Genomic DNA, 26,799 nt, shown 5'->3' on the forward strand with positions numbered 1-26,799 from the left:
TTCTGATTCCCTCGGGGCTGCCAGCCACTTGGTTCACATAGCCTGCAGCACAAGCTCCTGGGCCCACTTGAGCCACCTAGTTCTGCCTTCCGTAGCAGACGAATAGTCACAGACCCAGAGTCCCTGCCACTTCCAAAGGGGAAAGAAGTGCCCTGGGGTGAAAGGCATGCAACCTGGCTTCCTGAGCAAACCCCAAAGTGGCAGTGCACCTGGAGGACAGGACGTCCAGAGGAGCTGACTCTCCCCAGGGCCAACGCTGCCCATTAGAAAGAGGAGATGAATGGGGCCGTGGAGTCGGCAGATAAATTACCTCCTCCTTCTTGCTCCCATGGAGTACTTTGAGGCATGGTTTCTTCTCAGATGCCATCCAGAAAAGCCCTGTATGCCAAGCAACGCCTCTGCTGCATGACCAGCCTTGTGTCTCCACAGCTCACCGCTAGGTGAAAATCACCAAGCAGCACATTGTGTACAGTCTCACTCACCTCACTCCCACCCTCATTCTCACTGCCTTGAGCTCACACTTCCCAAATGAAACATAAGCATGTTAGCCTTTGCCTCGAGCTGCTTTCTAGAGAATTCAGGACAAGAAAAATCCCTAGGACTGAGATGGGTGGAGAGATGGATGGATAGATGGATGGGTGGATAGATGGATGGATAGAAGGAAGGAAGGAAGGAAGGAAAAGAAGGAAGGAAGGAAGGAAGGAAGAAAGGAAGGAAGGAAGGGTGGATGGGAGGATATATGGATGGATAGAAGGAAGGAAGGAAGGAAGAAAGGATGACAAGTGAATACACAGATGGAAGAATGAATCTATCTAGGTGGATGGAAAAAAGGATAAATGAAAGGTTGGACGGATGGGTGGATGGCAGTTTTGGACACTTGAGACCCAATTGGATGAATGAAAAATCACAGAGGTCACTATTTTGTTTCCTTCCATAGGACAACCTATTCCTACAAATGCCTCAAACTCAACATGTCCAAAACTAAGTGATCATCATTTTTCTTAATATTTTCCTTCTTCCTTACTCTTCCTTCACAAGCCATAAATTTGTCCTCGCCCATCCTCAATGAATCTGCCAACATATTTCACTTCTTTTATGTCCCATGTGTCTCTAGGCTTCATCCCTACCTCGTGCTCCATGGCTACTGCCTTCGTAATGTCTCACACAGACCCGTGCCCCATCCACCAGCTGGCCTCCCTTGTCTCTTGTCCACTGTCAGCAACACTTGGGCTCTGCTGTGGTCAGAGTGTGTCCTGGTTTGGATTTCTCTGAAAGCAGACCCTGAGGCAAAGGCTTGGATACAGGTAGTTTATTGGGAGCAGATCCAAGAAAACAAGAGTAGAGAAGCAGGAAAATAATTCAGGGAAGAAGGAGAAAACAAGATACAGGTATATTATAAAGGTTGTTGTTATGGGCAACTGGGAGTTGAGACTCCTGGGAGCTTCTGGGAAGCATGCAGAATGCCTCCAGCAACTGTCCATCTGAAGGATTAGAAACTGAAGTGTTTATCCGCCGGCTTCTATCCTCATTAGTTCAGAGTCGCCCCTGGTGGCATTAACAGCTCCACACATCCAGGCTGTGTGTGAGGGCAGGCCAAGTGGGCCCCTGTGGCAATGGAAAAGGCCCTGGGACAGAAAGGGACACACAGTCCAGAGGTGAGTCTGAATTCCTGTGAAACTGTCCCCTGCAGCTGCAGCTTAAATCAGACATGGGCTAAGGGATGTGACACAGACCCCTAGAGACACCTGCTCCAGAATGATCTACAAAACGCATATGCAGCTATGGTTCGCCATGGCCAAAACTCCCTGATGGCTCTCCTGAGCCTAGGGGAAAATGTCCAACTTTCTTAATAGCATTCATAAGAATCAATGGCCTGCCCCAGCTTCTGTTGCAACCTCACTTGTGGCCGCTCCCTGCTAGTGGTTTGCTCTCTGCATCATTCATTTTCTTCCACCTCCACCACGTTGCCTATGCTGTTCCCTCTGCCTGGAATTCCCTTCCCATTTGCATTCCTTTTCTAGACTAATTCATCTTTTGAAACTTTTCCCTGACAATCCTAGGCAGAGTTAGACATGCTGCCCATATTTCTATCATCGCTCCTATTGTACTTTTTGCAATTCCCCTCCCCCACCATCTCACACTGTGAGCTCACTGAAGACAGTGGCATGATCCCCTTCCTCTGGGTTTTCCAAACGCCCAGGGAGGACCTGGGACGTGGGAGGCGTTGCCAAATGGATGGCTGGTTGCATCCATGTGTAAACAGAACCCCTACTTCAGCAGGTGTCTCTATTCAATGTCTTACTAGGTCCCAAGCTGAAAAGTGTGGAGCATCTGTTCAAGATTGTTGAAGGACACATAAACCAAGTGTCCAAAAAGGAAGTGACAGCCCCGGCAATAAACTCAATCAACAAGCATTTGTTGAACAGCTAAAGAGCTGAGTCACTGCTTTAGACACAGATAAGGGGATGAGATAAAAATCCTGACATGACTTGGGGCATCCATGTGACCAGTGCTGGGGAATCCCACAAGGACGGAGACCAGAGAATCAAGATAAGACTACCAAGGCAGCCAGCCTTCCCATGTCACAGATGTCAGCCTCTCCTCCTCTGTGCCCGCAGGCAGGCACCTGCCATGGAGCAAGGGTAGCAAACGTTCACCTGTACTCTTGTAATCTGCAAAGGGGACCTTCTATAGGTCAGGTGGGCTCTGCGCATATGCAGGTAGCTACAGCCAACAACAACAAACATTTACTGAGCCCTGGGCAAGTTCCTGCCACTCTGCTCAGAGATACTTTCTCTGGCCTCAATTTGCTTACATTCTAGCAGGAGTGACAGGCCCCTAAACATACAATAGCAGTTTGGTGTCATGATGACAATAAGATGTACTATACAGAGTTTGCATAGATGTATAAGGGACGAGAGTTCTAAAAGGCCTTTACGTTGACAAAATATTCTAGTGTATATATAGCATATATAATTTATATATTTATGTATATTTATAAACATAATACATAATATTCATATTATATATTATATTTTATATAATGTATAAAAATATATGTATATATTATGTATTATAATATATAATATTTATTTATAATATATAAACTATATATAATATATAAAATATATATTTTTATGTATATATAAACAGATACATAAATTACATATACTATATATGTATTTATATATGTAAAAAATATATAATATATATAATATATATAAAATGTAATTTATTTATATATATTTATAAATTATACCAAGGAAACAAGGAACAGATTCTCACCCACTCCCCTTAGCTGCTCACATCTTCGACCTACCCAACCTGAAAGAAAATATATATTTTATATATAATATATTAATAGAATATACATTTTATGTATTATTTATTACTTATATATATTTATATTACACACACAAGATGGAAAGGCAATGATGACTATACACTTGATCAGTTGCCTTCATGTGTGTATTTTCTGTCTTTCATTCCCTAAGCATAGCTTTGCTCTGTTTTTTCTAACCCAGTTCAGTAGGTGTATAATGAATAGATCAATCTCACATGGTCAGGAGAGGGCTGCAGGAGCCACCATCTAAGTTCAAATTCTACCTCTGCCTCTTATGTGTTGCATCTTCTTGGGCAATTTTCCTGCCCACTCAGTTTTCATATCTACAAAGTAGGATTGATAAAAGTACCTACTGCCTGGGATATTGTGAAGGTAAAATAAGTTAGTATATGAAAAAGCTTTTAAAGCACTGGACATATAATAAGCCCTCAGTAAGGTTAGCCATTATTAATAATGGTCTTCTTGTTGTTTAAGATTATTATAAAGTAGCTCAGTGTTAGGGCCAATTTTCTAGAAAAAAAACTATCAAATATGAATGCTTAGTCTAATTAAGTAAGAGAGCAAGTTCCAAGTTCTATCTCCTGAACCTCAGAGGTCAGCAGTAGCCCTCATACATGATTCCTAAAATACCTATTTTTGATCTCTGGCTCTCAGATGGCAAGAATAAGGACAAGGAAAGTAATCTTGCCTGGGGCCTCACATAGCAGGGCACTTCGTTTTTTAAAGTGAATAATTTATCAAGTACTTATTGTGGTTCTTGATTGTTTAGGCAAAAAAAAAAAAATCTCAACTTGGAAAACTGGGAGATGTATACACAGGGCAACTAGAAACCGAGAGAGAGATTGTGGAGAGGTGGAAGTGGCATGCTTAAAAGCGTAAGAAGAGAGGATGCTGGAGATGCCTGTGAAGGAGACCTTGGCCCTGCCTTCCTGAGGAATGTTCTGGAACTCTCATCCTCAGAGCACCAGAGTGTGCAAGTCAGTCAACAACCATGCAGGCCCAGTGGTACAAGAGCAAACGGCATGCCTGCATGGAGTGTCCAGGCAGATGGGCCCAAGACAGACCCGTGGCTTTCCACAGCTCAGAGTGGCTTAGGGACATGGTAATGCTTCCCAAAGGCTTCATCCACGTGGACCAGAGAGCCAACAGGTGCCAGGCAATGTCGGACAGCTTGAGGAGCATGCAGCGGTGAGCTGCATGGATAGATGGCCAAAGGCCAGATAGGAAGAAGGCCACCTCCGGGACAGGTGCCATCTACCAAGGAACAGATGCTCACCCCCTCCCGCTAGCTGATACCCCAACCTACCCAACCTGAAAGAAAAAGCAGAGAACTTCAGACCAAGACAAATTTCTACCATGACTGGGGAGCCAGGGCCCAAAGAAAAAGTAGGTTCAGGTCTAGAAATGAAAAGTTATTTCTTGCAGACAGCCAGAGTTTGAATAAAATCAGAAAGTCCCATGTGAAGGCAGTCACTAGAGCTCACGGCTAAGAGTGTAGGTGATCTGGAGTCTGGCTGACTCTGGTCTCTGTTCTGCTTCTGGGAAGCCATCTCTGACCAGTTACTTACCTTCTCTCAGACTCTATTTGCTCATCTGTAAAACAGAGATAATATTAATATCTCCTAATAGGTTATATGTGTTCAATAAAACATTACATGTAAACCCCCTGAGGGGTTGTTTCATGCTAAGCATTCAATCAATGCAGAATAATGGCATCATTAGAAAGGGAGGGAGTTGGGGAGGGGTCTTGGGGCAAGGGCGGGTGAGGGGTCTTTATGGAGTTCCCTGTGGTAGAGATTCAGGAGAACACTCTCTGAGAGCCAGCATATGGCAGGAACTTCCCAAGCCTGCTGAGGGTGCGGGAGAGTGGGCTTTACCTATGCACTAAGCACATGGTCCCCATGTGATCCAAGTCAACGGGAGCTAATATAACTTTATGGTCAAGGGTGTGGATTCTGGCATCCGACTGCCTGGACTTACATTACTTACTAGCTGGGCAAGTATCCTTAGGTAAGTTACATAACCTCTTTATTTATACCTTAGTTTTGTCATCTGCACAATGGGAATAATCGTTCCTGTTTCACAGAGCTGTTCCGAGACTTAAATGAATGAATATATGCAAAGAGCTTTTCTAAGCTTTCCTTCCTGGCATGCTGACTGACACACACTGTAAATATTAGCCATTATTATTCTGATTTTGCTCCCATCCAAGTTTACACTTCAGCTGCTAGAATCCCTCAGGATCTCAAATCTGATTTATCTTCCAACAATAAAACCCATCCAAACTCCAAGGCCATTTTCCAGCAAGGGAGAGTCACATCAAAATAAGAACGCTAAAGCTACCAATATTCAAATGAAGATAGAGAATGGGGCCCTCCTCCTCCATGCAACCCTGGAATAACTCTCACTTGTGCGTCAGAGGGGAGCAAAAACATCAGCAAGAGGGCCCATTACCGAAAGTGAGGGACTTACAGCATCAGGGAAACCTCACTGACATAAGACATGAATCAATCCAAGAAGGAACAAAAGGGCAGCTTGTTTGCAGAAGATATTCCATGCTTCTTATATATTTTGGATATAAACCTCTGTTAATGGAAAAACCAAACTCTGTAAAATATTTTAAAGAGGTTTATTCTGAGCCAATATGAGTGACCATGCCAAGGGAACAGAGTCTTAAGAGGTTTTGCGAAAGTGTGTCTACAGCAGTTATGTTACAATTTGGTTTTATACATTTTAGGTATGTATAGGTTTACATCGGTTTTATACATTTATACATTTGCAAATATTTTCTCCCATTCAATAGGTTGTCTCTTCGTTCTGTTGACTGTTTCCTTTGCTGTACAGAGACTTTTTAGGTTAATCCTATTTGTCTGTTTTCACTTTTGTTGCCCCTATTTTTGGGGTCATAGATCAAAAAATCATTGCTCTGACCAGTGTCATGGAGCCATTGCCCTATGTTTTCTTCCAGTAGTTTTATAGTTTCAGGTCTTACATAAAGTCTTTAATCCACTTTAAATTATGTTTTTGTATATGGTGTGAGATAATGGTCTAATTTGATTCTCCCGCATGTGGATATCCAGTTTTTCCAGTACCGTTTATTAAAGAGATCGTCTTCTCCTCATTGTACTTTCTTGGCATCTTTATTGAAAATTGATTGACCATAGATGCATGGATTTATTTCGGAGCTTTCTATTCTGTTCTGACGGTCTATGTGTCTGTTCTTATGCCAGTACGATGGTGTTTTAATTACTCTAGCTTTGTAGTATAGTTTGAAATCAGGTAATGTGTGAGGCCTCCAGTTTGGCTCTCTTTGCTCAAGATTGCTTTCAGTTAGCTAGGAGAAATAAGTTCAAGAGATCTATTGCACAACGGTGTGGCTATAGTCGATAACAATGTATTATATTCTTGAAAATTGCTAAGAAAGCAGATTTTAAGTGTTTACACCACCAAAAAAAAATATGTGAGGTAATGTATATGTTAATTATTTCAATTTAGCCAGTCCACAATATATTCGTGTTTCAAAATATCAGGTTGTATACCATGAATATGTACAATTTTTATCAATTTTTTAAAGACAATATTCTGTGCTCATACTTCTTCCTTGAACCAAGTATAAGAAAAAAGTAACTTCATCTTGTATCAGTTATCTATTGTCCCAATAGTGCTGCATAACAAACAACCTCAAAACTTCAGTGGCAGACAGTAAACATTTGTTTTTGTTCAGGGTCTGCAGGCTGGCTGCCTGGTTCTGCTCATCCAAGACTCGGCTCCGCAAGGCGCATTCACATGGCTGCGGTCAGCTGCAGGGAGTTCAGGCAGCCATGCGATCTTGGCTGGTCTCTCTCACATGTCTGGGGCATCTCCTGGGATAACTGTGTTGATTCAGCTTTGCTCTGGGGTCTCATTCTCCAGCAGGTTAACTCAGACATGTTTCACAGCAAAAGCCAAAAAAGTGAGTGGAAATGCCAAAATGCTTTGTCAAACTTCTGTTTGTCTCATGTCTGCTCTCATAGCCTCGGCCAAAGCAAATCACACGCTGAGCCCAAAACTAAGAGATGGGACAAAATTCTCCCCCACACCACCACATACAATGAAGAGGTTGTGCAAACTTACATTGCAAAGGGTTTAGATTCAGGGGAAAATGAAGAATTGAGGCCATATGTCACTCAATCTATCACGTATCCAAAAGAACTTGCTAACCTTTATTTCAGGGAAAGAAAAGGGGAAATTATAAAAGAGATCAAGTCTACTGAAAGGAAGGCCAGAATCACCCACAAGACAAGCAACCCTGAGGATATCAAACAGCATTTCCCTTTCATTGACCACGTTGCATTCAAAGAAACACCAAATTCTCACATTCCACTCTTTGCAAGGGACATCTTAAAAGCTTGTCCAACATTTCTAGTGCCACCCACTTTGAATTAATCCAGATATGTCTTTATGAGGTAGGAGGTGGGACTCAACTCCAGAGGTGGGGCTCAGACCTGGACCAGACTGAGGACTAGCTGACTAGCTACAACAGGGCCAGGGGCAAAAGCAGCTTTCAATCAGGCCCACCTACCAGTGTGGCTTGTCAATTTACTGTTGCCATGGCAACACCCAGAACTTGCCACCTCTTTCCATGGCATTCAGTGATCCAAAAGTTACTACCCCCACCCTGCATAAACTGCCCCTTAATCTGCACGCAATTAAAAGTGGATCTGGACCTGCGTGGTGGCTCACACCTGTAATCCCAGCACGTCGGGAGGCTGAGGCGGGTGGATCACAAGGTCAGGAGTAAAAGACCAGCCTGACCAACATGGTGAAACCCTGTCTCCACTAAAAATACAAAAATTAGCCGGGCATGCTGGTGCGTGCCTGTAGTCCCGGCTACTTAGGAGGCTGAGGCAGGAGAATCACTTGAACCCCAGAGGCGGAGGTTGCAGTGAACCAAGATCACACCACTGCACTCCAGCCTGGGCGACAGAGCGAGACTCCATCTCAAAAAAAAAAAAAAAAAAAGTGGATATGAATATGACTGCAGAACTGCCCTGAGCAGCTACTCTCTGCCCACAGGGTAGTCTTGCTCTGCGGGAGCAGTCATGGAGCTGTAACACCACCAGACCTATAGCACTGCCTGTTCAGTAAAGCTGTTCTCTTCTACCTCTGGCTTTCCCTTGAATTTTCCTGGGCAAAGCCAAGCTAACGTGGCTAAGCTCCACTTTGGGGCTCGCCTGCCCTGCATCATTTAGAGTTCACTTTTCCAGCCATCCTGCCCCAAGACCTTAATATTTCAGGAAATATATATCTAGATGGAAAAAATGAAAAATAAGTTTAAAGACATTAAGATTTCTACCCATTCATCCAGGTTTGACTTGGATGAAAGTTTGAAAGCTCTCCCTTTACTGTTCCTTTCCACCAACTCTCAGTTAAGACCAATGAGTACTTCACAAATGAAATTATTTTTAACATAATGTATGTTGTGGGATGCTTAAGTCCTCACCAACTGTGGCTTGTGGTTAAAATCCTGGTGCCTACTCTAGATTCCAGGAAAATAAATTGAGGAGGAAAAGTGAAATTTCATAATGAAAATTTAGCATCATAGTTCATTACTCTACCGTTGTATGTTACTCATACAGAAGCTATCTTGGAAACATTCCTGCTTTTCCTCTGTCTTGTTTTATAAGAGGAGCTGGCCCACTTTAATAGCCTGTACATTTAAGATCCACAAAAGATAATGCGTAGTGAAGATGGTTGAGTCAGATAGACTCAGCAGATAGACATTTTGATAATCAATTTTTAACTAGGTAATAAGAGTTGACACCATGCCACTAACACCTTCAGGCTTGGGAGGAGAATTCCGTTTCTTGTCCTCCATGGTGAATTTCACAGACTAGGCGGGCTGGATTCCAAAGTACTGACCACTGGGAAGTGCCAGGCATAATATTATACTTGCCAGGCCATCGGTTTGACCTCGAGCCTAAATTCCTTGGTAGCTCCCTGTAAATTACGGGTTCTGTCTTTTTATCTGAAGCAATTATTCACATTCAGTGTGGTTTTGCTTGTGGCCAAGTTAAACAGAGGCATTCATCAGCTGTGTGTATTCAGAGGACCAGCTATTTTTTGGTAGGGCTGAAAATGGTCTAGATGAGATTCCATAAATCAGTGCTAACAGCTACAGTGGTGAGTTCTTTCCTGGCACGTTAGGACACTGGACTAAATCAACAGGGTTGCACTTTTCTTTTCCACTTAGTTGAAAGCTCTTGGTCCAACACCAGCATGAGTGCTCAGGCCCCCTCCTTACCTCCTGTTTTGTTTGACCTGGTTTTTTGGGGACACCATAGGGAAGGAAAAGGCAAACATTACAGTAAAGTTTTCCATATAGCTAACTAAAAGACTCTCCTTCCTTAAGTAATGGACAATATGTAAGCATACTTTATTAATTTTCTTTGCTAATATTACAGAGTTAACTTGTATTCACTATAGCCAGTGAAACAGTTCAAAGATACATGAGAAAAATCTCCCTCTACCCACCTCCTTTCTCATCCCCAGCCTCACACCCCAAAGTCACCAATGTCACAGCCTGGTGTCCAGACATTCACTTATTTCCCCAGCTTCATATCCACATACAAAGGGAAGAAGAGGAGAGATGAAGAAATTAGCTAAGTAGGGGCTGGAGCCAAAGACTTTTATTTTGTTCCAAAGATAAACAAAAAACCCAGAGGCTTTTAAAAGTGGAGGAAAGGAAAGAGTTAAGTTCTCTCTGTGTGACAACTGAACCAATGCGGGAATACCTTTCGGAGGCTAGAGTGGTTGTCCAGGAGAGAGGATGGTGGCTGCAACTGAGGTGGTGGCAGTGCTGGTGGACAGCAGTAGATATTTTTGAGGGGTGAGCCTGGACAACATTTGAGGATGGATCAGATGCCATGGGGCAGAAGGTCATTTGTGGCTTGCAGATCTGGGTAGATAGTGCTGCCTCACCAGGAAAGGATCCAGAAGGAATGGGAGGCTTGGAACGGAGCAGTGATTCAGTTGGGATGTGCTGAGGGTGAGGCCTTCCAAGGAAGGAGGTCACATGGGCCACTGGCTCAGAGGAGAGGTCTGTAGACTGGAGGGTTTTGACTAAGGAGCTTTGAGAGTATCCCCAGCACCTAACACAATATCCTAGCATATTGGATGCTCAGCAAGTATTCATTAAACTAATAACTTACAACAGGGATCATAGATGAGTCTTTGCAGAAGAAACCTGTCTCCCTTTTGGGCTCTCCAGAGGCCCAGACTTAAGACTCTTCAGTATCATGTAGAGGCTAATCATTTGGCACACCTTCAATACAATATTCTTGACATATCTGTCTCTTAGTCACTTGCTTGGAGGAGAGGCTCAAAGCTGCCTGAGATGTTGGGGAGAGAGGAAGAAAGACAGGAGGATGCTGAAAAAGAGAACGGTGACCTCTCATCGTCGCTAAGGTCTGAACAATTCCACTCTGGCCCAATTTGCAAGCTCCACTCTGTAGGAAAAATGAGTAAAGGCTCTAAGGTGAAATTGCTTGGACTGAAATCCTGGTTCTACCATGTGCTGTGTGCAGACACAGGCACATTATGTAACTGCTGGGCCTCCACTTCCCCATCTAGAACATGGGGCTTGTAATAGTGGCAACCTCATAGGCTCAGTCTGAGGATTCAGTGAAAGAGCACAATTAAAGCATTTAGCAGAGCGCCTGCCCTCCTGTAAGCGTCTTCAATCACAGGCTGCTTTTTTCATTCACCACCCCTTCCTCCAACCACACAAAATGCTGTCCCTGAAAGGAATTCCAGAAAAGAAAACTTCCTCCATGGCATTGTAATTCCTGCGATGTCTGAGAAGTGCAAGAAAGTTTCTTCCCCCAGGGATCCTTCCCGTTAGCCCTCTCCATCTGCCTCTGGCTTCCCATCACCCCTTGGCCCCGTGCGCCATGTTTTCTGGCTTTCCAATTTGGGGTCCATCTATTTTGACTTGATGACTGTGTTTGGAGGACAGGATTCATTTCTTGTCCATCTTTGCATTGTTTCACTGCCCTCAGCACTGTGCCTTATTCACGGTAAGGGTGCAGTAAATGTTTATGGCGATTAACTTAATTGTATTTTCCCTTTATTGGGCCTTGAGAGAAAGAGAAACAGAGATCACTAGAGTTAACTTCTGTCCCACACCTTGGGAGCCAAATTCTTTGGCAATTGTTGTTTTCGTCTTTTTAAAAATAATCTTGGGGTTTCTTATGATTGAGGTCATTTCTACACGTTGTAGAAAAATTGGAAATGTGAAAAAAAGAAGAATATGACAAAAATAATAACTAACTGTAATTTGACTAGAGATAATCACGGGTAACATTTTGGGACTCTATATATCTATTATACACATCTATATAAGTTCTGTGTATCTGTATCTATATAAATTGAGATCAACTATATCTATATAAATCGGGATAAAATTATATATATATAAACTGTATCTACATAAAATGTATCTATATAAATTGGGATCAATTTATTGTAATTCAGTGTAAATTGAATACACCGTTTTGGGCTGGGCACAGCGGCTCATGCCTGTAATCCTAACAAACACTTTGAGAAGCCAAGGCAGGCGGATCACTTGAGGTCAGGAGTTCAAGAGCAGCCTGGCCAACATGGTGAAACCTCATCTATACTGAAAATACAAAACTTAGCTGGCCATGGTGGCACATGCCTGTAATCCCAGCTACTTGGGAGGCTGGGGCAGGAGAATCACTTGAACCTGGGAGGCAGAGTTTGCAGTGAGCCTAGATTGCACCACTGCACTCCAGCCTGTGTGACAGAGTAAGACTCTGTCTTAAAAATAATAATAATAATAATAATAATAATAATAATAATGAATACACTGTTTTGAAATCACTTTTCAATCAACATTATTTAAGGAGAATTTTTCCTTAATTTAAATATTATTCAAAATAGAATTTCAATGTTCATTTCTCTCATGAATAAATATTCTTGTGTATAAATCTTTGCCTACATATCTGACTGTTTCCCTAGAATAGACTTGCTGGAAATGGAATTCCTTTGTCAAAGGTTGTGAACTCATTTTAAGTCTTTGTTACCCATTGTCAAATGCTTTTGAGAATGAGCATGCCACTTCAAGCCACCAACAGCCTGAAGAGGAAGGCACATCCATTCTCATCCTCTCAGCATTCAGCATCTTTTTGTGCTGGACAGTTTGGCATAAATGGCAGTGACTTGCCTTGTTAATTTGTTTGATTACTAGTCAGGTTGGCCTCTGTGATTTGTCTGCTCTTATCTTCCACCCTTTTGTTCTACTAATGGGTGAAGGTCCTTCTTTTTGATCTTTGAGACCCTTTTATATCAGGAAAAAATTTACCCTTTATCTGCGTTAGTTACAATTTTGTTTTCTTTGAAGTTTGGCTTTTGAGTGTGTTTGCTTTTTGAGAGACACAGTTTAATTTTTGTACAACCCACTCCATCACATTTCTTAAGATGATCTTAATTGTGTGTATATTTAGAAAGTCTTTGTATAGCCTGAGATTAATGAACAACTCATCTGCATTTGGTTGTTTTTTTTGTTTGTTTTTTTGGTTTGTTTGTTTGTTTGTTTTTTGAGATGGAGTCTCGCTCTGTCACCAGGCTGGAGTGCAGTGGCGCGATCTCGGCTCACTGCAACCTCCGCTTCCCAGGTTCAAGCAATTCTCCTGCCTCAGCCTCCTGAGTAGCTGGGATTACAGGCGTGTGCCACCATCCCCAGCTAATATTTCTATTTTTAGCAGAGACGGGGTGGTTGTTTTTTAATGGTTATATTTTTGCAACTAATTCTATTTCTATGTGAATTTTAGTATGAAATGTTTGCATTCTAAAAGATTTTTTAAATGTAGAAAAAATACAAAGAGGAGAATAAAATTCACCTGCCATGATGCTTCCACATAATCGATTTCAACATTTTTGAAACATTGTTCTAATCCTCTTAGTTTTTTCCCATCTGTTCATTTTTCCAAATAAACTTTAGAATCATTTGGTCACATTTCAAAAGAAAAATAAATCCAAAGACTATTGATTGAGAAAATACTAAGTTTATAAACTAATTGGAGAAGAATTGTCATTGTCACAAACTTTAGATTCCTTCTACAGAAATGTTTATACATTTGTTCACATCTTCTTTTGTATCTCAAAAAGATTTTTCCAATTTTCCTCATGTCGATCCTACTCATTCCTTGTCATGTTTATTCCTAGGTGTCCTGGGTTTGCTATTGCAATTAAGAAAGTGGTTTTCTTTCCCATTTCATCTTTTAACTGGTTAATGCTGTTATAAGCAAAGCTATTGCTTTTTCTCTATTTGATAGTTAATCCACCTACTTTATTAAACCTCATGAACTCTAAGAGATTTACAAGTTACTCTTTTTTTATTATTGTTATACTTTAAGTTCTAGGATACATGTGCAGAATGTGCAGGTTTGTTACGTAGGTATAGACGTGCCATGGTGGTTTGCTGCACCCATCAATCCGTCGTCTACATTAGGTATTTCTCCTAATGCTATCCCTCCCCTAGTCCCCTACCCGCCGACAGGTCCCGGTGTGTGATATTCCCCTCCCTGTGTCCATGTTACTCTTTTGATATTACCAGGGACACTTGGATTTCTACTGATTTTAATGAGAATACCTTCTGTATTCACCATTAAATATGATGGTAGTTGCTGGTTTTAGCTCGATATTATTTGTCATGCTGATTAAGTGGACTTGCATTCCTAGCTTTCAAAGAGGTTTTCTTTCCTTTTTAATAAGGAGTGGGTGTTGCATGTTATCTAATACATTGTCAGTGTGTGGCTATTTATAAGTTCTGTGTGATTATACCATTTATCTATATAAATGTCCCCTTTGTTCTATTTAATAATGCTTTTCCCCCTTCTGAATTCCACTTTGAATTTGAATTCTACTTTGTCTGAAATAGATCCTGCCACCCCTGCTTTTAAAAAGAAAAAAATCTTTTTGCTTGTATTATTTAACTTTTTTGCCTATCCCTCCCTTTTTAATCTTTTCATACCATTGCTTTTCAGTGTCTCGAGCAGTAAGACATTTAACAATTATCAGCCCCATGCTTACTTTGTGCCAGACACTGGATTAAACAAAAATGGAAAAAGAGGATAGAATGTGCTGGAAGGGGTACATTCAAACCCAGTCTGAACTGGCCACTGCTGTGAGCAGGTTTGGGGACAGCAGTAGATCCTAGAAGGGCCTGACCAGCTGGGGAAACTGGCCAGGCTGTCCAGAGGTGACAAGAGGATTGTCACCCAGACTTGCCCAAGAAGAGTGAATCTGAGTCTTGGAGAGAACAGGAGTTTGGGTTCTTCTGGGCCCAGATGGCCTCAGGGCTCCCTGGAATTTGGGGACCCCACAGTTGGTCGCCACCATGAATTGAGGAGCCTTGCTTCTCTCCACACTGTCTTTTCCCTGCCTCCTCGTGGCTTCTGCTTCACTCATTCACTCATTCTGTCAGTGAATGATTCTTCAGCACCTGCCCTGCATAGGATGCCATTGTAGGTGCTGGGAAATCAACGGGAAGAAGATGGAAAACGAGACTTCCCTTATGAAGCTTCTGTTCTACAGAGGTGGGCAGACATGGCCAGAAAAAGCACAAGGCCATTTCCAATGGTGGAAGGGCCAGGACTGCTGCCCTTTCTGATAGCTTCTCTTTACACTTAGGAGAAAATTCAGGGCCCCATAATCCCTAGGCCCTACATAACCACACATGCACACACCACAAATACACACTACACACCACACACACACCACACATACACAGCGCACATACACACACCACACACACCACATACAGCACACACACCACATGTGCACACACATCACACACACCACACGTGCACACACATCACACATATGCACTCACATCACACATATACCGCCCATATATCACACACGTACACACACCATACCCATGTGTGAGCACGCACAGCACACACACATGCACACCACTACCTCTGCCATCCCCCACCACTTGCTCGCTGCAGCCTCTTGACCTGGACATTCCTTAATCAGGTCCCGGCCCTCTTCTCCTCAGTGCCTTTGCCCTGGCTGTTCCCTCTGCCTGGACATTCTTCCCTAGACGTTCGCACAGCTTGTCCCCCACCTCTCTCAGGCCTGTTGGAATGTCACTTCATCCACGCAGCCTTTCTGGACCACCTCTCTAGGAAGGCGTGCCCCTCCCTCCCACCTGATCCTTCGGCCCTTTGCCTTGTTTTATTCTGCCTCGGGGAATCTTAGGACTGCCTGCCCCGTGCTGTACACTCATCTGTGTCTTTGCCTATTGTCTTCTCAATCAGACTTTCTCTGAAATCCCCAGCATGGAAACCAGGCACAACACAAAGTAGATACTCAATGAGTATTTGCTGAAAGAACGGAAGATGAAAGCAACACCTGGTGTGGGTTGTGATGGTTCTACAGAATGACTTGGACAAGGGGGCTCCCAGAGAAAAGGAGAAGAGAGGAAGAGCTGAGCTGCTCAGGTCCCATCCATTCACATCCGACTCACCACTCTGTATCTCATTCCACCTCCTTGGGGAGGAAGATGGGGTGGGGAAAGAAGAGTGGGGAGAAGCCCTCCCTCCCACAATGTATGTTGTTTCATCTTGTTTCAGACTCATGCTTGTATGATTTTTGTCTTTATCCTTATAATTTGAGTTTTGCCAGAATGTGCCTGGAAATGGTGCCCCTTTCATTAATTTTGCCTGAAATATGATATAATATCTCTACGTGCTCCCTACATCTTCTCCAATTCCATGAAGATGTCTTATTTCTTATATTCTTATGTCTGATTTCATTATAGATTTTCTTGTTCTGCATTCTGGGAGAGCTTCTCAAATTCATACTCAGGCCATTGATCAGGAATCAGTCATTAATCTGCAATGATGATTGTGTTCTTTTTGGCCTCATGGCTGAATTTTAATTCTGCAACTGCAACTTTCATTTCCTTTCAATACTTCTTTGTCTCCTCAGTCCCATCTCCAGGTCAGGGTTGTGTCTCAAGACAATTCTCTTTCAACCTCAACCCCTTCTCTCCTAGGATGTTCTATTCTTCTTCTCCTTGGGCCATGTCTTCTGGCTTTGTCTTCTAAACTTTTCTTCTGGTTCCTAGAGTAAATCATTTTCAGAAGCACGTATTTCCCCTGAATATTATGGATGTTTCATTCATTCATTCAACAATGCAATTTATTGACTGCCCATCCAGGGCTGAGCACTGAATTAGTCTCAGGAGCAGCCCAGAGCCAGCAAGTCCCTGTCCCCATAGATGATAGAATCAAATGGGGAAATTAGGCAATTATACAGGTAATTTTAATTAAGTGTGACAAGTGCCATAAATAAGATGTGGGCAGGGTTATAGCACAGTGTATAGTATGAGCACACAACCGTGGCTGGGCAGAGAGGGAGTGGGTAGGTAGAGGTTGCTACCTGCTCTTATGCTGAGCTGTTGCTTTTTCTTAATACTCATGTTTTTGAATTTGGGTCCCTCCACCCCCATCTTTGGTCACTGTCAATGGCTTCTTGTGTGATGACAGTTGGGATGTTGAGTTCCCCATGTACTTCCTCTCACTGTCTATTTGGGTGTCATGCCAATCCCCCTTCAGGTCAATAGGCAGGTGACATGTTGATGTACACAGCCTCTGGTCCAATCTCCAGTGTGGCAAGGCAGGTCCTTTCGTGCCTAGCTGCCAACATTAGGTGTAATAGTCTATCCCCACTGCCTTACTTCTGACCTCCTGAACCAATCTGTAATGTCCAAGCAAAACCAAAATCTCCAGGAAGCATTGTTTTTTGCACCCTTCAGGAGTAAATATGTCCAGAGTGGACAATTTAATTCTAAAATGTGACCCCTTTCAGTACAAATTAAAATGCATTCGGTGCAGCATTTATGGGAAACTATGGAAGGCATATTGCATTTCCAGTGCTCTCTGGTCATTGGGAGAGATAGCCTGGGTGATGTGGGGAGGTAGAGAATTCTGGGAACTTCCCCCACAGCTGACCCACTAGAATGTGGAGCACAGAGAGCACCAGTGAATCTGATTCTAAGGAAGGAAAAACAAAAATTCATTTCTCAAAGGAAAGAAGAAGAAATGAAACTCAGGCTAGTGGAGAAAGAGAATACAGCAAGGTTTCAAGGAGTTCAGATAAATATTTAAACTTGGAAGGCATTATGAGTCTCCCAGAACGGTATGCATCATTAATTCCCAGGCAGTCAGGTTAACAATGAGCTGCTAAAGAGATGACCTCTTGAATTATTCTTTTAATGGATTTCCCAGGTTAAAGTAGATTTCATTGAAGGTCAATCAATAGACAATTTTACCCAGGCCTGGTGATTAAAAGAAAACCATAAAGAAATCCTGTGACAGTAATCATTTTGGCTCAATCAGACCTTCCTTTCAACCTGAAAAGCCCTAGATGAAGGCCACAGCATGGATTAGGGCAGGGGCTCCTGGTTCTATTTTCCATTAATCCCCTCATCCTGAGTGAGTTTTAACTACCCCTGCCCCTTTAGCCAGATGGCTCACTCCACACCCCCAGGCAAAGAGAAGAAATTCATGCTCCTTTCCTTTCTGGTAGATGAGGCACACTGGAATAATTTAAATTAACAGTGTAGATCTAGCTTATTTCTTGAATTCCCAATGATTGGTCACAGTGAATTAGCATGAGTCAGAATTTTAGTTTGACAGAAGTGATTATATTAGGATCCCTGTGAGTCTCTGGGTCTCTCCAACTCTCCTTCTTTATTAGAAGTAGCCTCGGGAAATCAGGAGGAAATGAGATGCCCAGGAACATGTATCTCAGTGATCCACCATTGACTTGGTTAGGAAATTTGGGGTAGAGGAGGGCTTCTCGAAAATGAAATTGCCTTCAGGTCTTGCCAGTTGATGCAAAATGCATCGAGGAATTATAACATTGGAAGGAAAGGGGGCTTTCCTTTCTCCATCATTTATCATCAGGGAGTCAGTGGAACCAACGTTCTTTCTTTGAAAGGTGGGTCTTTAAGAGTGAAATATTGAATCTTTCTTTCCTTTTTCTTTCTTTTCTTAATAGTCCACGACTTTTTCTAAAAGTGTGTTTTACCTGATCCAGCATTTTGAGTTTATTAGACAGGATTTTTCCAAGGCTTGCTATTTATTTTCACAGTCTCGCTTTTCACCGATTCAAGACAATGAAGAAGAAAGATCCTTGTTGCCATGTGGTTATTTTGAATAAATTAGGCTTTAAAGGGGCTGCTGGTTTTCAGTTCACACACACAATCGAACTCTGCTGTAGTTTCCATATTTATAAAAAATCCCTGCTGTGAAGCTAACAAGGAAAAAGCCTCTGAATCTCTTCTTTCTGCTTATCAAGAATCAAAATAGAAACAAGGAATGTTTGAAATAATACAGAAATGGCACTGAGGAATGTGAACATTCTGGGGGGAAGGGAATAACTTATGTGTTGTTGGGGGTGCTTGTGCATGCGAATATAAAAATTGATATTCATAGACTCGTTAACCACAGTGTTAGGGGGCTAGAGATTTGATTTAATCCTTGATATTTTTATTTTCATAAAGGCCAGAGAAAAAAGGTGTTTCCTTTGGAGACAAGAATAGCTTCTTGAAAGACTTTAGTTATTATTGCTGTTGAAAAGGTTCGTGATCACTTTTGAATACATTATTATAATGATAGATGAGGAACAGTGACAAAGAAAATAGAAGCCTAATTTTTGATTCCCTTGAAATTTTCAGCTCTGAAGCAGCTCGGCAGCGACTCTAAGAATACTACTGGGCTCTCTCAGTCACACTGAAGCATCTTTTCTGAGTTGAGACATAGGTGAAAATGTGTGCGCGCCTACATGCAAAGCGTGATATTCACATGTACATTCTTAAACATGTAGCATCAGCATTTGAAAGGCTTACCAAAAAAAGAAAAAAAAAAAGCTGGAATTCAAACCCAGAAACCAGGAAGCAGCTGCAGAAATACCTAGGTGTGACTCTACAGAGATTCTGGCTCCCTTTCCAGATGCATTGATCTTAGAACTTGACAACTGAGAAATGGATCTTTACCATTCTTTTTGCCTAAAGTATTATATATACTTGAATGCAACATTGTGTTTTATTTTCCAACTCTGCCAAGATTCAATCTACTGGTATTGAATATCCACCAAAAGAATGCTAGACTATTACAAAGCATGCACAAAAGAGGTACAGAAAACCCATACGCCTTATTCTCTCTCCAACTCTGATAGCGATAAAACACCGACTTCACCCTTTACACTCAGAGATTCTGACTAATAAGCAGAGACAGATAGGAGAAAGTGAAATTGAATCTCAATTATAAGAGATATAAGAGAATGACTGTTTTTATTGCAGTTGTAGAGTTTGGTCTTTTCTATGCTTTACTTAATTCTGTTACTAAAAAAAAAAAAAAAAAAAAAAAAAAAAGATCTTTTTTGTTTAAATTCAGCTGCAAGAGCCTAAAGAGGTTTGAATAGTGGCAAACTGTAATAAATCATTTTAAAAGGGAAAAGATTTCACAAAAGTAAATCAGAGTCATTTCCCTACCTTAGAACTTGAGTTTCCATTACTTCCAGGAGGTTTTCAACTTCAGGATGAATAGAGTCACCAGAAGAATAATTTATTTCAGTTTAAAGTTGGCCATATGAATGAGTATGGAATTTGAAACAGAGTAAAATAATAGGACATTTAATACTGCTTGTCAAAGACTACTTACCCATTCAGCCTATGAAGATATATACTTGGAGAACCAGATTGTCAACAGAATTAAGAATCTGGAAGACTTAGAGGGTTAGGGCTTGGCTTCCAATACAGCCACCCGATCAACATATTGACTATTGCTTGGCCCTTTGGGAACTATTGGGTGGCTGATCCAATTTGAGATGGAAAAAAAAAAAGAGGAAGAAGAAGAATCTTCAATGTAGAAGAAAAGGCAGAGTGACAAAAACCCATCATTAGAAAGAAGTCATGTTAATTCCTTGCCCATGGTCTCGTAACATATTTTAATGACTTCCTATGCCTTCTGGTTAAAACTCAAGCTTTGCAGCCTGGCACCAATTTCTATCCGGTTTCCCTTGCCTGTACTTTTACAAGCTGCTTCTCCTTCACCTCATTCGTATTCAATGTCTGGGACTCAGTTCAAGGCTCTTACTTTGGAAACGTTCCCTGACTTTGCTCACTGATCCCTTCTCCAGTTTTCTTCTTTCACATTACCATAGCACCTTGAATTTACAAGGCACAAAATCCATGGCTCGTCAGTGTTCTTTTATGCCTCTACTCCATCATAAGCTCCTAGCTCAAAGGACTCGTTCCTCCACCTCCTATTGGTAGCACTGTGCCAGGTCGTGTCCACTCACCACTGCAGACCCTTTCTCCAGCCTTCTCCTGCCTGCTCTGTGCCCCAGGGTGAAGCCACAGGCAGGCAGTGCTCTCTGGCTTCTAGCTGGGAAGATGCCAAAGAAAACTGGAGGGTAGGCCAGGCACGATGGCTCATGCCTATAATCCCAGCACTTTGGGAGGCCGAGGCAGGTGGATCACTTGGGGTCAGGGGTTTGAGACCAGCCTGGCCAACATGGTGAAACCCCATCTCTACTAAAATTACAAAAATTAGCTGGGTGTGGTGGTGGGTGCCTGTAATCCCAGCTACTTGGTGGGCTGAGGCAGGAGAGTCACTTGAGCCCTGGAGGCGGAGGTTGCAGTGAGCTGAGATCAGGCCACTGCACTCCAGCCTGGGCGACAGAGCAAGACTCTGTCTCAAAATAAAAAAAATAAAATAAAGGAAAAAGAAAAAAAATGGAGAGTGGAGGGTGGGAAGAGATAGGAGTCTGGGTACTTATTCTCCTGGGTCCCTCCCTCCAAGCCATGGGTTGGCCAAGGCAGCAAGCCCCTGTCTAAGTAGCCTCTTCGCTACAGTGACAGTTCCCCAGGTTCTAGAACCCCTTCTTCCCCTTCCTGTTCAGGCCTGGGGACCTGGGGACAGTAACAGCTTCCCACTCTTGCCTGTCCTCGGTGCTTTGTCATCCTTTATTGATTTTCTTAACCCTGCAGCAGCATGGTAAACAGTTCCCTCGTTAAACCCTCCTCAATTAACCTTATTGACGGTACCATTGCTTTTCTGCCAAGATCCTAACCAATGCATTGCCAAGCAGAATCCCCAGCAAATCTAGGAATCTGTAAATATTTGGTGAGTGTGTTTATAAAACTAAGATCATGCCAAAGTGGACATCGGGTGACTGGAGTTCTGATGCTAGCTCTAGCTCAGGCAAGTCGTGTGAGTTCAGGCAATGCTAAAAGCCCCCACCTCTCAACTTTTCCCAAACATAAAAGAAAGCTTAGATGCAGAGACCGCTTCTACAATCCCCATCACTGCTAAGTGCACTTCTCTTGCACATCTCACTTTTTGGGGTGGATGCTCACTTCTCTCCCCCACCCAAGTCTTAGATAGGGAGAAGGCTGCCTTGAGGCTCTGCCATGGGATCGATTCCTCCTAAGCTAGAAGATATTGATCCCGTGACAATTGCTGTCCTGCCTTTCTTTCTGGGAGGAGCTGGCTGTGGGCGCCAGGATTGTGCAAAAGGGAGGTGTTTCTGAATAACAATGGTGCATTGTCTCATTATCGATTGTTCTGCAGTCTAACTGGGTTAGATGGGTGCACATTTCAGACCCCTCCCAAGCAAACCAAATCCTTTAAAGGGAGAGAGGCAGGTGTAGACAGGACAGGGTTATTTTATTTCATATGAAGATGCTGAGCTCCTGATGAGTTACATTTTTATTTCTTTTTGAATGCTAAAAATGACTGATGGCCACAGTCCTGGCAGTGACCCTGGCTTGGCCCTAGTGGCTTGGGCCTCAGTTGTACTCCAGGTCTTGTCCTTGCCAGCCTGTCCTGAAACCCTCACTGAGCTTAGCGGTGTGCTCACATCTCCTGGGAATGTTCTGCCCCTGGCCGAGCTCTGCATCTGGCTAACTTCTCCAGCAGGCGCAGTAGCAGAGGCCCACCACGCTGTTCAAGGCACCTGATGTTTCATTAATCAAAAATGTTTTAATTTCTTTTAAACTTAGAAAAACGTGAATAGAATAAGTGAATTCATATAATAATGAATTAAGTTGCATTATATGTCTTTATGTCATTGTGTTTGTAAAATATAATTTTTAATACTTTCTATGAAAGAGAAGGCCACAAAGGCAAAAGCACCCAGGGCCCCCAAGTCATGATGCTACCCTGCCCTGCAGAATGCCAGCAATGAAGTATTCCTTGGGCAAATAAAGTCTGGGAACTCAAGGGCCACACCTCCCCTGGGAGAGTCATATCCTACGCTGGCATGTCAAAGAGCCAGAGCCGTGCTGCAGTGGGAAAATCTGTTTCACTTCCTTTAAGCCAACTATTCCCAAACGTATTTGCACACAGAACACTTGCAGAAACACCGACCTAAACTTTACTTGTTTTATTTCTCTTTTCAGCCTAGATAATTTCTCAAAACTTAAGTAGTACAACCTTGTATTTATTTTGTAAATGTCCCTTGGGAAATTTATAGTTATAGATGCCTATTTTTTAAAAGAAGCAAGATCTCAAATTAATAACCTAAACTTCCACTTTAAGGAATTAGAAAACCAAGAGCAAACTAAACTCCAAGCAAGCAGAAGGAAGGAAATAATAAAAACTGGAACCGAAACACATGAAAGATAGAATAGAAAGATGATAGAGAAAATCGAAGAAACCAAAAGTGGGTTCTTTCAAAAGATCAACAAGATTGATAACACTCACAAAGAAAAATGAAGACTCAAATGACTTAAACCAGGAATGAAAAAGTAGACATTACTACCTACCTCATAAAATAAAACAGATTATAAATAAAACAGAGTATGAGGAAATACTATGCACATTGTATGTCAACAAATGATATAGCCTAGATGAAATGGGAAAATTCCTGGAAGACACAAACTACAGAAACTGACTCAAGAATACATTGAAAATCTAAATTGACTTATAACAAGTAGAGAGATTAATTTCTAGTTTTAAAAAGTTCCCACAAAGAAAAGCCCAGGCCCAAATGGATTCACTGGTGAATTCTACTAAATGTTTAAAGAAGAATAAATACCAATTCTTCACAGACTTTTTCATAACCTAAAAAGAGCATCTGCAAAAAATAAATAAATAAATAAATAAATAAATAAATAAATAAATAAATAAATAAAAATAATAATAAAAGCCCACAATTAACATGATACTTAATGGTGAAAGAATGAATGTTTTCCCTCCAAGATCAGAAATAAGACAAAGATATTCATTCTCACTACTCCCATTTAACATTGTACTGGAGGTTCTAGCCAGCGCAATTAAGCAAGAGAAAGAAAAAAGTATCCAGATTGGAAAAGTAGATCTATTTGCAGAAGCCATGGCCTGGTATATAGGAAATCCTAAGGAATGACTCACACACATACTCAAAACCATCAGAATTAACAAATAAGTTCAACGAAGTTGTAAGATACAAGATCAATCTTGTATCTTCCATCAAGATATAAGATGTAAGATACAAAATCAATTCTATTTCTATACATTAGCGATGTACTATCCAGAAATAAAATTTTAAAAACAATTCCTTTTAGATTGGAATCAAAAAGAACAAAACACTTTGGTATAAAGTCAACAACAGAGGTGCAAGAATTCTACACTAAGGACTACAAAACATGTTGATGGAAATTAAGGAAGACTGAAATAGATGAAAATAGTCTTCCATGATCATGAATTGAAAGAGTTAATATTGATAAATGGCAATACTCCCCAAAGTGATCTATGGATTCAACACAAGCACTAACAAAATCCCGGCTGTAATCAATCTAAGCAATGGAAGATTATTCAGCCATAAAAACGAAGGACTGATCTGTGCTACAACATGGGTGCACCTTGAAAACATTCTGCTAAGTGAAAGAATCCAGTCATATTGTATGATTTCACTTATATGCAATATTGAGAATAGCCAAATCAATAGAAACAGCAGATCAGTTCTTCCTGGGACCAAGGGAGGGGAGAATGAAGAGAGACTAGTAATGATTACAGATTTTTGAGGGTTGGGTTATGAAGAAGTTTTGAAATTAGTTAGTGGTGATGGTTGCACTACTCTCTGAACATACTAAAAGCCACTGAACTGTAGACTTTAAAAAAGGTAAATTTTATGATATGTGAATTATATCTTAATAAAGCTGTTTTTTTTTTAATGTCCCCTGAGAGCCACTGCCAGGAATGCCCCTCGTGGGTCTGTTCCAGTATGTAATGAAATCTGTGCTTGTCCTCTCCAACCCCTTCGGGACTTTCCTCTGCTAACTCTGCATCTTTCCAGACTGAAGAGTCTTGATATCTTCATTCATTTATTCACTGATTCATTCATTCACCACATATCAACTGAATTGTGCTTTGTGCTAGACCTGAAGGCAATAGTTTTGAAGAAGACAGACCTGGTCCTTGCCCTCAGACAAGCTTACAATCCAGCATATATGCATTTAGAATTAAATTCTCAATTTCTGGGTTTTTTTAGGTCATCTCTTGCAGGGTAAGGGCAGGAGTAGGGGGTAGAGAAACCATGAGCTCTCTTCTTTAGAGCCCTCTGTTCAGGTCTCCAGTAAACCCTACTCCTGGGGGCCTACCAAAATGTTATCTTCTGGCAAACGGTCAGTTTAAAAGGTTTACTTTTTATGCTTCCTCTATTTTAGTTGAGGACTGAACTAAACTAAACCTCCAACGTCTGCTGGGCTCCTGGTATGTCCTGAGCACTGTGTGATGACCACAGCATCCCTGCAAGGTGGGTCAGAGCAACAGAAAAAGTAAAATACAGACATTGACAGACACTTACTATGTGCCTGGTACCATGCAGGGCTTTTACAAGCATCATCTCATTCCATCCTCCCACTAACTTTATGATCCCTATTTTATGAACACCCTTCAGAGAGAGTTGCTCAATGACACAGTTAATGAGTTGACAGCCAGAACTTTCACTTCAGCTTCACCTGGCTCTAAAACCCACAATCATTCTTCTCTCCTGTGCTTCTTCTTGGATCTGCTTTCAGAATACCTAAATGTCTTTCAGACCCAAATGAATGAACCTCTAATGCAGGCTCAGGGGTCCTGGGGCAGGTAGGTGGAATATGGGCGGTTCACATTTCTGGCTCCTGCACCCACCAGCTAAGTGCTTTTGCCTCCATTTCCTCCTCTAGGAAATGGGTCAATAGCAACGCCAATCTCAGAGAGGTATTATTAAGATTCAATGAACTGGCCGTGCGTGGTGGCTCGTGCCTGTAATCCCAGCACTTTGGGAGGCTAAGGCAGGCGGATCACAAGGTCAGGAGATCGAGAGCATCCTGGCTAACAACGGTGAAACCCCATCTCCACTAAAAATACAAAAAATTAGCCGGGCGTGGTGGCGGGTGCCTGTGGTCCCAGCTACTCGGGAGGCTGAGGCAGGAGAATGGCATGAACCTGGGAGGCAGAGCTTGCAGTGAGCCGACATCACGCCACTGCTCTCCAGCCTGGGCGACAGAGCAAGACTCTGTCTCAAAAAAAAAGATTCAATGAATTGATATGTGTAGAGTGCTTACAGCATATCCTGGCTATACTAGATGATCAATAAATATTCATTGTAATTCCACATCAAAACACACAGACTTAACAGCAGTTACAATGAATCCTCCACCTGATTGACTTACCAGATGCTGGCCACCATGCTGGACATTCACCGTCTCCCATGTCCAACCCTCCTAACCCCTATGCAAGCAGAGAACAGTTATTATTCCCATTTTACAGATGAGAAATCCAAGGCTAAAATTGCAAAGGCTAAGATGTAAGCCAGATTTGATGAACCTATGCTAATACCCTCCTCCTCTTAGGGCCAGGGGCTCACTGCATTCCTCAGGACTTGGAATCACTTTCTTCTCCAGAAAACTTCCCACCCCCTGGTCTGATCACATCATGGTATCTAAACAGCCCTGGTCATAGCAGTGAGCTGTAACCTGGCCCAGTACAAGGGTGAGGCAAGAGAGGCACGTAGGACAAAACATTTAAGGAAGCCCTCACTCTCAAGGTTGCACAGGGGTAGGGCTGGCCTCCGAATTTTCACACCTCCTTAAATGTCGTGCCCTAGTCGCTTTGATTGACTCACTCTAATCCAGACCCTGAATGTATCTCCAATCAAGAAGTCCCCAGAGCTTGTCATAATGAGGACAAAGTATCACGGTTTGTGTTTGTAGCTGACAATTACCTTGTCTCTGAACAACAAGATGGAAACAGACTTGGGGGTAGTGTAGAAGGAAGACTCAGTGGAGTCTGGTATAATTTGGAGGCTGGCACTGGCCACATTTACCGTTAATTTAAAGCTGGGGGAGAGAGAAATTCGAAGAAAGCCGATGGTCTTGAGTTAAAATGCTACAGGATGTTAGAAAA

At 42.1% G+C, this 26,799-nt stretch overlaps 1 protein-coding gene and 1 long non-coding RNA gene across 7 annotated transcripts in view; both read left to right on the top strand.

Annotated features, from left to right (window-relative positions):
* The window catches only part of KAZN (kazrin, periplakin interacting protein), a 1,225,220-nt gene that overhangs the window by 584,744 nt on the left and 613,677 nt on the right, over window positions 1-26,799 (top strand). The window lies entirely within an intron of this gene.
* On the top strand, window positions 15,482-24,588 carry LOC124903850 (uncharacterized). The gene is made up of 2 exons (XR_007065478.1): window positions 15,482-19,003; window positions 19,101-24,588. It is a non-coding gene; the product is annotated as an uncharacterized LOC124903850 (long non-coding RNA).

The sequence above is a fragment of the Homo sapiens genome, chromosome 1 (assembly GCF_000001405.40).
Source record: "Homo sapiens chromosome 1, GRCh38.p14 Primary Assembly".
Classification (NCBI taxonomy): Eukaryota; Metazoa; Chordata; class Mammalia; order Primates; family Hominidae; genus Homo; species Homo sapiens.